At 42.9% G+C, this 12,890-nt stretch overlaps 1 protein-coding gene across 1 annotated transcript in view; it reads right to left on the bottom strand.

Annotated features, from left to right (window-relative positions):
• Positions 1-274: 274 nt before the first annotated feature.
• Positions 275-12,890, bottom strand: part of NOCT (nocturnin) — a 30,159-nt gene continuing 17,543 nt past the window's right edge. Inside the window, exons 2-3 of the mRNA NM_012118.4 lie at positions 2,871-3,140; positions 275-1,575 (exon numbers count right to left, since the gene is read on the bottom strand). Coding sequence (NP_036250.2) covers positions 740-1,575; positions 2,871-3,140 — 1,106 coding nt within the window. The 3' untranslated portion in view covers positions 275-739. The remainder of the gene's footprint in view (positions 1,576-2,870; positions 3,141-12,890) is intronic.

Here is a 12,890-nt window from a genome sequence, read left to right as displayed (position 1 = left end):
AGCAACAAGTCTAAGTTTTTATAGCATCCTCAAATTGAAAAAGCTTCAAAATAACCGAATTTATTATTATTTTAGAAATAGAGATGGGGTCTCGTGCCATGTTGCCCAGGCTGGACTCGAACTCCTGGGTTCAAGTGATTCTCCCACCTTGGCGTCCCAATGTGTTGGTATTACAGGCATGAGCAGCCACCACACCTGACCAAAACAAGCCAATTTAATGCCCTTAAATGATCAAAATGTAATATTAAGGAAAAGAAAACAACACAAGCCAAAATTGGAGTGCAAACGCCTTTTTCACCATAGGTTTTAATTGAAAAAGGGACTAAAGGGAGTCTTTTCCAAGGGCATGCTGGAAACGCAGAAAATGAAATGATAGAAACTTCCCATGTTTCTATCCTTCCTCTGGCATTGTCTTATCCTATTTGTTTCCTGAAACATTCCCTGTTAAGACTCTTGTGATTCAAGGTCAGGAGATCGAGACCATCCTGGCTAACACGGTGAAACCCCGTCTCTACTAAAAATACAAAAAATTAGCTGGGCGTGGTGACGGGCGCCTGTTGTCCCAGTTGCTCTGGAGGCTGAGGCAGGAGAATGCCATGAACCCGGGAGGCGGATCTTGCAGTGAGCCGAGATCAGGCCACTGTACTCCAGCCTAGGCAACAGAGCGAGACTCTGTCTCAAAAAAAAAAAAAAAAAAAAAAAAATAGACTCCTGTGATTAAAAAGACAAAAGCAAGTATTTATGAAAGTCCATCAGATTCCTCAGTAAAGCTGAAGTCACACACTAGAGACAGGTGGTCTGAAGGATAATTGAAGGAAGGTAACCTGTTGGGTCCAATCTGTTCTTCAGTGAGCAGATCGAGAGCTGACCTTACATTTAGAGCATGTTTAGAATACCAGATGTAATCCAGGGTGTGCCTGCACTCCCCTGAGGTCCGGATCTTCCAGGTAGTGTATGGGGGTTCTGACTGCCCATCAGCACTCAGCAGCTTGTAGGCGCTGTTCAGGTTGAGGCTGGAGGAAGCAAAGTGTTTGTAGACCTCTTCTGTTGGCTCTGCATTGAAGTCCCCACACACAATAAGGGGAATCTTGGCTCCTTGGGTGATGTTTTGCAGGTTCTGAAGGAGGTCACAGCCTTGAGCTGATCGAAACCGCTCCCAGCCAGTGCGTGCTTTTAGATGGGTAACAGCGATGCAGAACTGTCGGCCTGACTCCTTGCACTCCAGGGTCTGTGCAATGGCCACCTGGTTGGTTTTCAATGTCATGGCTGTCAGCCTAATATTGGCACTGTTGACTAGCTTGAATCGGTTTTGAAGAAAAAATAAGGCACAACCATCTGGTCCATTGTTGTGTTCTACATCTAGACAAGGTGACCAGGGTTTGGGGAAAAACGTGCCTTGATAGCCTAGTCTACTGAGGAGTGGCTGGAAGGTGTCAAAATAGTGGTCCACCTCTTGGAGGCACAATATATCAGGCTGGTAGGCCAGGATTTCTTCCAGGATGAGACATTTCCTTTCTTCCCATTTGAGTGCTTCAACAGGGCACTGTACAAAGTTGTCTTTGCCTTCTCCAAGAGCTGAAAAGAAAAAGCTAGTCAGTTGTCAGCTCTTACAAAACCGTGACTTCAAAGTACCCAGGAGGTTTGGCATCACTCAAGACCCTCAGAATGCTTCCTCTGCTTTAAATGCTTGGAGTGGCTCTCTGTCCAAACTGTATTACCCCATCCAAACTAAATCACCTCTCACTATGTGGATGAAGCAAACAACAGATCTTTTGTTTCGAAATGATTTCATGTTAACTATATTCCAGGATATTAAGATCTTACTTAAGGAAACTGCTTTGCAGTGCCAGGGATCTAAGCTATATAAAATGAAATAAATGCCAATTTTCTTTTAAAATTTTTTTGGTTTTTTTAAACACCAAATATTTAACACCAAGTATTAGTTTTAACCCTGACTATTATGGACACTACTCAGAATGAATGGAACTTATTTTAAATAGGCAGCTTTTCCTACTTAGGGAAAAAGAATCAAAGATTGGTAAGTCACGGAATCTCCCCTTATTTTCCAGGAAAAAAAAAAATCAGGCCCTTGTTTTTCTTAAAATCTCAACTGCTTACATAAAAGGCAATGCTACATAGAGTTGATTGACACATCTGTTTTTTAATTTGGCAGACCCAGGAAAGAAGTCCTTACTACTGTAACAAAGTGTATATATATATATATATATATATACATATTTTTTTGAGACAGTGTCTCACTCTGTTGCCCAGGCTGGAGTGCAGTGGCTCAATCTCAGCTCACTGCAACCTCGATCTTGTTGCCCAGGCTGCAGTGCAATGGCGCAATCTCAGCTCACTGCAACCACCACTTTCTGGGTTCAAGCGATTCTCCTGCCTCAGCCTCCCGAGTAGCTGGGATTACAGGCATGCGCCACCACACCCGGCTAATTTTGTATTTTTAGTAGAAACGGGGTTTCTCCATGTTGGTCAGGCTGGTCTCGAACTCCTGACCACAGGTGATCCACCCACCTCGGCCTCCCAAAGTGCTGGGATTACAGGTGTGAGCCACTGCACCTGACTTGGTTTTTACAATTAAAGCAAGTAACTCGTGGTTTATTCTTTACACCTTCCATGTTTGTAGACTATCCAAGAACAATTAAAGTGTCTTTTTTCTTTCTAAAAAAAAAAAAAAAGTGAAAACCAGATGATTCCCTGTCTTAACCTCTTCTAGGAGCTCTCCATGCTGCTGCAGTCACCTCCATCTGCCCACACCTCTTCCTTCCACATAAAACAGTGCACTGTGGATGTGCAGAAGCAGAAAGGCAGTCACAGCAAACTTGACTGCAGAGGCACAAAAGCATCCAGCATACCTTGGGCGAGGATGTTCCATTGCATAACCCTGATAGGTGGGTGGGTACTAGGGCAATCTGTCCTCAGATCCACAAAATCCCTCTGGAACCGGGGAGGTCGGGTGTGCAGGACGGCCCTGCATTCCTCAAGAAGCTCTTTAGGATCAATGGGCTCCAGATGCTCTGGGTCAGGTGACACCAAATACTCTGGGTGCTGGGAGGCAGCGCTGCTGTTCAGTGTCTTGGCGAGAGCACTATAGAGTCTGCTTGTACCGGTTCCCATGGAACACACTACGGAAAAGGAAATCACAGTTACACACTCAGCTCCTTTTCCTGACTTCTCGCCCAGCACAACTGTAAGATAAACATTTACTGTCCACCGAAACCAGGAGCTCAATTGTTGCCATAATAGTGTATAAAGCCATTTCTTTTTTCTTTTTTTTTTTTTTTGAGATGGAGTTTCGCTCTTGTTGCCCAGGCTGGAGTGCAATGGCACAATCTCGGCTCACCGCAACCTCCACCCCCAGGTTCAAGCAATTCTCCTGCCTCAGCCTCCCAAGTAGCTGGGATTACAGGCATGCACCTCTACCCGCTGCTAATTTTGTATTTTCAGTAGAGATGGGGTTTCCCCATGTTGGTCAGGCTAGTCTGGAACTCCCGACCTCAGGTGATCTGCCCGCCTCGGCCTCCCAAAGTGCTGGGATTACAAGCATGAGCCACCACGCCCGGCGTATAAAGCCATTTCTACAGAGGCAGAATAAAGGAGTTTCCAGGTTCCAGCTTTCTACTAGGACAGTTAATTTAAGTACTACCGTTAAAACTAGCCTCTGATTAACAATGAAAACTCATCCTTTTAAGGAAGAAATACTTTGATCTTGATGGCCTCTTCTAACCTAGGATTTGTCTTTGTAATTTATAAAACCAGTCTTAAAAAAAGAGCAAGGCTTAACAAAATCTACATTCCTTTTTCTATATATCTTAAGAACCTCAAGACTAGGCTGGGCATGGTGGCTCACACCTGTAATCCCAGTACTTTGGGAGGCTGAGGCAGGTGGATCACTTGAGGTCAGGAGTTCGAGACCAGCCTGGCCAACATGGAGAAACCCTGCCTCTACCAAAAACATAAAAAATTAGCCGGGTGTGGTGGTGTGCGCCTGTAATCCCAGCTACTCAGGAGGCTGAGGCAGGCGAATTGCTTGAACCAGGGAGATGGTGGTTGCAGTGAGCTGAGGTGACTCTATTGAGCTCCAGCCTGGGTGACACAGCGAGACTCAAAAAAAAAAAAAAAAAAAAGATCTTAAAGACTAGTTTGTAAAAAGTGAAATGTTAGAAAGCCCATGTTAATGTTAATCCTGGGTGAGAGATTAGGTAATAGCAGGCTGCTTGCTACGCTGGTCATCTCATCTATACAGATCCCTCTGTTGGGGAAAGTAATGGCTAGATTCTTTCCCATTTCTCCTAGATGTTAAGTGTAAATCAAGGCTTGGGCTTTCTGTAGTAGAACTCTGAACTTCACTGAGTGGTATACTCTATAATCTTGTATCAATTGCTGGATTTCTTAAAATCCAGAAAAGGGGCTGAGGCCAGAAGGGCTTAGAGTAAGCTGATTTTGTTCAGCTAACTTCCATCCAGGGCACTACCTTCTCATGAGTTGCCCACATTTCCTGGGATCCTAGAAAGACAAAGAACAAGGAAAAATGCAGGAAGCACCAGTTACTTTGTCTTCCCGAGTTAATTTTTAGTGTTTTGCTTTTTATAATTCATTAAGGAGAACAGAGCATAATCTTCAACTAATTAGCATTATGTGGCAGTTCACTTGAAAGCAGTTGATTGCTCTTTTAGAGGTCAACTATGTTTTATTTTCATTATAGTATAAATTAGGGGCACATTTTACTGGGAGTAACATCCAAGATTCTCTGTATGATAAATGCTGGTACCAGGCAATCTGGATTTCCCTCTCTTGAGAGATACAAAGTTTTCTTTATAAAACATAAACATTTTATAAATGTAAACATTATATAAAGTTTTCTTTATAAAATTTGGCAGGCTTATCAATCACATCTCAAACTAGCAGTCAATCAAATTCACTGTGGCAGGTTACAAAGGAAATTCAATTATTTACCACCAAATGTCCTTGAACATTAAGGTCAATGAGGATGCAAGCATGCTTTTTTTGTTCCTTCCTGTCTACTCAAAGTAGTTTTTCCCTCCAGTAAGAAAGCTAGACTACAGCAAATGAACACATACTAATTTTCCCAACAAACATAGCAGGTGTGTGTGCATCTGCAAGCAAGCATGCTCTCCCACAAATACACACATATACAACTGTTTCCAAACTGATTTCAATAATTTCATTTTAATTGATAAATACATGAGTACATGGGTCCAAAGGAAGAAATTTTCTTCATGGCTGGCAGTACAAGTTTTGAAAGTCTTTCTTCTTGTACTTTTTTTTTTTACTTCCTGTAGGTTTTTTGGGGAAAACAAACAAAAAACAGCCAAACATCCAAGTGTGGTCTCCTGATCAGCAATATCAGCATCACCTGGGATTGTGATCCCCAAATTGTGAGCTAACGTGTCCCAGGGAACCACAGCAAACTCACAGGGACACCATGGTATATTTTATATTTTAAATGTGAAATAAACAGTGACGTTTGACACCTGTCAGGCTCTGGGCTTGATGTAGAGCTCAGTTTCAATAGGACTGCCCTACATTCCTTTTGATGACATTTTATCTTTGCCAAGCTGAGTTTTAGGGTGGTTATATGAAAAAACTACCATGCAAAAATGAATGTGCAGAAGGAAGGATGTCCAATGGGAGTCAAACGTTTGAGGAGTACGTGAAATCAGAAAAGCAATCCTGAACCACACTTCCTTCTAAAAATTTAGAAAAATCAATTTCACATGAAGAGAATAAAGAATAGAACAATATCAGACAGTGAAAGCATGCCAGAAATGTGCCCAGGAAGCAAATCAAACTGCATCCTATTGCAGAGTGAGCTAAGTCTTTAAGAAAATGATACAAGGCTGGGCGCGGTGTCTCAAGCCTGTAATCCCAGCACTTTGGGAGGCCGAGGCGGGCGCATCATGAGGTCAGAAGATCGAGACCATCTTGGCTAACACAGTGAAACCCCGTCTCTACTAAAAAATACAAAAAAAAAAAAATTAGCTGGGCATGGTGGCGGGCGCCTGTAGTCCCAGCTGCTTCGGAGGCTGAGGCAGGAGGCTCCCGGGAGGCGGAGCTTGCAGTGAGCCGAGATCGCGCCACTGCACTCCAGCCTGGGCGACAGACCGAGACTCCGTCTCAAAAAAAAAAAAAAAAGAAAATGATACAAGAGGCCGGACGCGGTGGCTCATGCCTGTAATCCCAGCACTTTGGGAGGCTGAGGCGGGCGGATCACCTGAGGTCAGGAGTTCAACATCAGCCTGGCCTACGTAGCAAAGCCCCGTCTCTACTAAAAAGGCAAAAATTAGCCAGGCATGGTGTTGGGCGCCTGTAATCCCAGCTACTCGCGAGGGTGAGGCAGGAGAATCGCTTGAACTCGGGAGGAGGAGGTTGCAGGAAGCCGAGATGGCGCCATTCCACTCCAGCCTGGCAATAGAGCGATACTCCATCTCAAAACAAAACAAAACAAAAAGATACAAGACATGAAAGAATAACCTAAATCAGAATTAGAAAATTCAGAAATTAGACACCAAAAAGAATTAGCAATAAAAATTAAAAAGAAATGAGAAAAAGATCAGAGTCAAACCTAAGGATTGCTTTTTTTAAAAAAAAATAAAAGGGAGAAAGTGACAAATACTAAAAATGAGCAAAGACCCAAAATATGAGTAATAGCAGTTCTTATAGATGAAGACCAACGAAAGGGAACAAAAGAAATCAAGAAAACTTAAAAAAAAATACTTAAAAAGTAGATATTGAAAAAAAGACATTGCAAACTTGAGAGTATCAACCCAGAATGACCAACACCAAGTGGTCTAGTAAAAAAAAAAATCAGATTGTCATCAGACTTCAACTGCAATGTTTTATGTGAGAAGAAAATGAAGTAACATATTTAAAATACATAAAGTGTAAGCCAAGGATTTTATATCCAGCAAAACTGGAATATTGTCTCCATGAGCCCCTTATGAGGAATCTACTAAAGCAAGGATTGGCAGTCCTCAAGCTAAGAATGGCTTTTTTTTTTTTTTTTTGAAATGGAGTCTTCACTGTGTTGCCCAGGCTGGTCTCAAACTCCTGAGCTCAAGCAATCCTCCCATCTCAGCCATCTCAGTGCTGGGATTACAGGCATGAGCCACCACACCCAACAAGCTAAGAATGGCTTTTACATTTAAAAAATGTGTTGTTAAGTACACACACACTCACGAATACATTAACAGGACCATTTTTGGCCCACAGAGCCTAAATATTTAATATGTAGCCTTCTTCAAAAAAAAATTTGCCATATCTAGAACTAGAGAACAAGCTTCAGACCAAAACAACCAGAAACACTGGTGTAAGAACTGGAGCAAAGCACTAAACACAGAGCTACTTAGCAAATCAATTCTAAAGAAGACTTTCAGGGAGAATTCAATATGTAATGGCTATATGGCCCAACAGTGAACATGAAGATGTAGTACACCAAAAAAGGAGGGGGCAGGATGAGAAAAGCATCTTCAATTTAAAAATTTTAAACTTTTTTCATAAGTTTCATAGTAGCAATCATAATTAGTAATTATGTCTAAGTGATCATAATTAGTAGTGGTGGTACTGGCACTGCAACTCTGAGACTGCTGTGTATATATGAGATGAATCAAATGGGATAGTCTATCATTCCCTGTTGTCTTTTAGGGGGATCTAGTTTTTGCGATGCATTTAATAGGCTATTCATTCACTACAATTCTCAAGGAAAACATTCTTGTTAAAGCCAGTTCATTTTGGACTAATAGCAGATTATCAAATCTGGTCATCTACCTTATTTGGCCTGAGATCCTCTTGGTGGTTTTCAACAAATTCACCCTCAGAAGACAAAGCTTTTGAGATGCAGGATATACTGCAGCGTGACCAAATTCTAAGGCCTCAAAAGAGAATTCTAGTCCCAGTTCTATGACTATTTAGCTGTGCCACAACTCTCTAGACCTGCTTACCTAACTTTTTAAAATTTATTTATTTATTTATTTATTTATTTGAGACAGTCTCACTCTGTCACCAGGCTGGAATGCAGTGGCGTGATCTCGGCTCACTGCAACCTCCACCTCCCAGGCTCAAGCGACTCTCCTTCCTCAGCCTCCCGAGGAGTTGGGACTACAGGTTTGTTCTACCACGCCTGGCTAATTTTTGTATTTTTAGTACAGACAGTTTCACCATGTTGGCCAGGCTGGTCACAAACACCTGACCTCAAGTGATCCACCCACCTTGGCCTCCCAAAGTGCTGGGAATTATAGGCGTGAGCCACCACATCCAGCCTTTTTTTTTTTTTTCCCCAAAGGGCCTGTTTTTTGTAAGGGCCTCACTCTGTTACCAGGCTGGAGTGCAGTGGTATGATCATAACCCACTGTAGCCTCAAACTCCTGGGATCAAGCCATCCTCCCACCTCAGCCTCCTGAGTAGCTGAGACTACCGGTGCACACCACCGTACCAGCCAAGATCTGCTTACTTCTCTTTAAAATGAGGGCTTACGTGGTCTTAATTTCTCCAAGATCAGGTGGAAAAGGCATCTGGGTTAGAACGGGGGAAACTTTTCAAATCTATGTTCCTCATATAACAGCTCTACTGTTTGCAGTAGAGACACATATCTTCCTATTAATAAAACTTGGGCCAGGCGTGGTGGCTCACACCTGTAATCCTAGCATTTTCGGAGGCTGAGGCAGGAGGTTCCCTGGAGTCCAGGAGTTCGAGACCAGCCTGGGCAACATAGTGAGACCCTGTCTCTACAAAAATAAAAAAATAGTAATTATTAAAAAAGGATGTTTCATTCAGAATTTCTATACTCATATTTGAAAAACAATGAATAATTCTTGTCAGGTGTGATAACACTACTCATGTATGGAATAATACACTGCAATTTGCCTTTCAAGTTTTATTGGCATAGCCCTTTTGTACTTGTTTCACTGTAGATGAGCACGTCTGAGAAAGATATCATTGGGCTACATTTTGAATAAGAGACTAGGTAGAGGGGAATCATTAGGAAGTGTTTACTATAGTCTTGTCTCTGTCCCCTTAGACCTTACAGGAAACCCAAAGATATTCCCCAAGGTGGACTGGTGCAACACTGACTGCCAGAGTATTTAACCACAACATGACATAGGACAAGCCCTCTAATACTAAAGTACCTGGGAAACATTAGTCTGTTGCATAATGAGCATGAAGTTAGGACAGAGATACAGATGGTCCTGAAAGGCATTTCCACTTATCCACCCTCGTTCTAGACAGCTTACTGATGGACTCCCCTGTGCCAGGCTGTTCTGTGCTCCCTGCAATTTTACTCACCTTCTTTGCACTTTACTCTCTTAAACAGTGGGACCATCACTGGCAACACTCTAATCTTCTTAATTTAATCCAATCCCATAGTCCTTGGGATAATCTCTCTGCTGTATGTTAATTTTACATTTATTTCTCTATTCTCTGAGTTTTGTTAAGTCACTGAGTTATGCCAATGTAGTTTTATTGAGTTATGCCAATAAAATATGTGCTGATATTTCCCCTAAAAAAATTGGCAAGTATTTGGGGAAAGATTAATACTCATGAATTCATGAGAGAAAAACTGGGTGCTAACTATGCAGAATCACTAGGGTATAATAAGGGTTAAAACAATCAGGATGGATAAGAGTAACCAGAAAAGGACTTCGAAAAAATAGGATTTAGATATGAAGCTCTAATTTGTGACTATACCACTTGGTCCATCATGGGTAGCCACTCTCATCTTCTGCCCCATTCAAACCACAGACACATACGACTGTTCATTCATTTTTTGTCAAATCTTTGAGTTGGAGCCAGGCACAGTGGCTCACACTTATAATTCCAGCTACTCAGGAGGCTGAGGCAGGAGGCTCAATTGAGGCCAGGAGTTTGAGGCCAGCCTGGGCAAAATAGCAAGACTCTGTCTCTCTAGAGAAAAAAATTAAATATCTCTCTAGGAAAAAAAAGGTTTTAGTGCCTACCGTGTACCAGACACTACCCTGGAGATACATCACTGAGCAAAACAGATGAGTATCTGCCCTCATGGAGCTTCTGTTCTTTCTAGTGGGGAGAGACAAACAAGACCCTATATACAAACATATATATGTGTGTGTGTAGTCTGTCATATATGGAAAAGTGCTTTGGAGAAAAATAAACGGAAAAGGTAGAATAGGGAATGCTTGTGGGCAGGGAGCTATTATTGGATATGCGATGCTTAAGGAGGCCTCGCCAAAAGATGGAATTTGAGCAGAGACCGGGAGGTGGTAAGGAAATAGCCTCACTGGAGACTGATAAAACATTCCAAGCAGAGGGAACAGCAAGTGCAAAATCCCTGAGGAACATGCGTGGCAAGCTTGATAAACAGAGGGGATTATGGTGGTGTGAACAGTCTGAATAAAAGGAGATGAGGTCAGAGAAAAAGCAGTGAGAGGGAGCAGATCGGGTAGGGCCTTGCTGGTCTATCTAGACTTTGGCCTTTATCAGAGATGGGAAGCAGCTGGAGAATTCTACTCAAGAGGAGAATCTGATTGACATTTTGAAAATATCACTGGCTGATATATTTAAACTACACTATACTACAGGGACATAAGGGCAGACAGGAGGAAACTCATTTGAGGAAATGTACAATAATCTAGGCAAGAGACAGCAGGGGTGAACTGGGGGGCAGCAGTGAAAGTGGTTGGATTCTCAATCAATCTAAAGTTGGATCCAACAAGTTTTGATAACTTGGATGTGATTTGTGACAAACAGCAGTCAAAAAGGAGCCTTGAGGCTGGGTGTGGTGGCTCATGCCTGTAATCAAAACACTTTGGGAGGCCAAGGCAGGAGGATCGCTTAGGGTCAGGAGTTTGAGACCAGCCTGGGCAACACTGGGAGCCCCTATCTCTACAACAAAACAAAACAGAACAAAAACAAATTAACCAGGTGTAGTGGTGTGCACTGGTAGTCCCAGCTATTCGGGAGGCTGAACTGGGTTGCCTGAGCCCAGGAGATTGAGGCTGCAGTGAGCTGTGATCATGCCACTGCACTCCAGCCTGGGTGACAGCAAGACCCTATCTATCTCTTTAAAAAAAAAATGTCCACAGTTTCCAGCTGAGCGACCAGAAGGATGGAGGTGCCAACTACAGTGGTTAGGAAGACTTGACAGGGTTTACAGAAAATAGGAGTTCAACAATTAGATGACTGACATTCAGAAGAGAGTTACAAACTGGAAACAAACATTGGGAGATGTTAATGCACAGAAAAGACTGAATTGAGTTAGAGAGAAAGGAGATCAAAAGATTGAGATCTGGGAAATCTGCAAAAACAACATGAAATGACATGGCCAGAGAAGTAGGAGAACATGAGCCGGGCACAGTGGCTCACGCCTGTAATCCCAGCACTCTGGGAGGCTGAGGTGGGCAGATCACTTGAGCCAAGGAGTTTGAGATCAGCCTAAGCAACATGATGAACATAAAAACACAAAAATTAGCTGGGTGTGGTGGCGCATGCCTGTAGTCCCAGCTTCTTGAGGGGCTGAGGAGGGAGGATCACTTGAGCCCAGGTGTTTGAAGCTGCAGTGAACTGTGAGACACGCCACTGCACTCCAGCCTGGGTGACATAGCAAGACCCTTTCACCACCACCACCACAACAACACCACAGCAAACAAACCAGGGCTAGGGAATTAATAACAAAGTAAATACTAGATAGACTTTACGTATTATTTTTATACTTATAGCACAGTGCCAAGGCTTACTAAGAACCACCTAGGGACTATAATGTAGTAAGTCTATTTATTTAAATTTGTAAACTAAAGAAGACTGAAGACTGAGGGGCACCTTTCTCTTCTCACTTTATTATGGTTTGAATGCATGTCCCCCAAAGTTCATGTATTAGAAACTTGATCCCCAAAGCAGCAGTGTTGGGAGTTGGGCAATGGGAGGTGTTTGGGTCATGAGGGCATGGCTCTCATCAATGGATTAATACCAATAAGGTGGGGGGTGGGGAGACACAGTGCTGTTCCAGGGGTGGGTTCCTTATAAAAGGGCGAGTTCAGCCCTCTCTTGACCTTCCATCTTTGGCCATGGCATGACACAGCAACAAGGCCCTTACCAGATGCCAGCCCTTTGACTGGACTTCCCAGCCTCCTGAACTTTAACTATATTTTCAGTTCTCATCACAATCCTAGGAAGCAGATACGCTTATTATGCCAATTTCAAACGTGCTATAATCCTAGCATGTTGGGAGGCTGAGGTGGGTGGATCATTTAAATCCAGGAGTTTGAGAGTAGCCTGGGCAACACAGAGAGATCCGTATCTAGATGTAATTAAAAAAAGAAAAAATTAGCTGGGCATGGTGGCATGTGCCTGTGGCTAGGGCAGGAGGATCACCTAAGCCTGGGAGGTGGAAGTTGCAGTGAACCATGACTGCACCACTGCACCCCAGCTCTCAAAAAAAAAACAAAATGAGAGAATAACTGAGTTAACAAGTCTCATTGTTTCTCACCTACTTTAAAAAACAACTTTACATTCCCCCTTTTTTTTTTTTGGAGACAGGGTCTCACTCCATTGCCCAGGCTGGAGTTGGAGCACAATGGTGCCATCATAGCTCACTGCATCCTCTAACTTCTGGACTCAGGCAATCCTCCTGCCTCAGCCTAAGCAGCTGGGATGATGGGAATATGCCACCACCCTGGCTAATTAAAAGAATTTTTTTTTTGTAGAGACAGGGGTCTCACTTTGTTTCCAGGCTAGTCTTGAACTCCTGGCTTCAAGCAATCCTCTCAGCTCAGCCTCTCAAAGTGCTGGGATTACAGGCATTAGCCACCATACCCCACCTAACATTCAACTTTTTTTTTTTTTGAGATGGAGTCTCACTCTGTTGCCCAGGCTGGAGTGCAAAG

This window comes from Homo sapiens, chromosome 4 (genome assembly GCF_000001405.40).
Source record: "Homo sapiens chromosome 4, GRCh38.p14 Primary Assembly".
NCBI lineage: Eukaryota > Metazoa > Chordata > Mammalia > Primates > Hominidae > Homo > Homo sapiens.
Note: the sequence above shows the minus strand (reverse complement) of the source record. Positions and strands in the feature narration are given on the sequence as shown.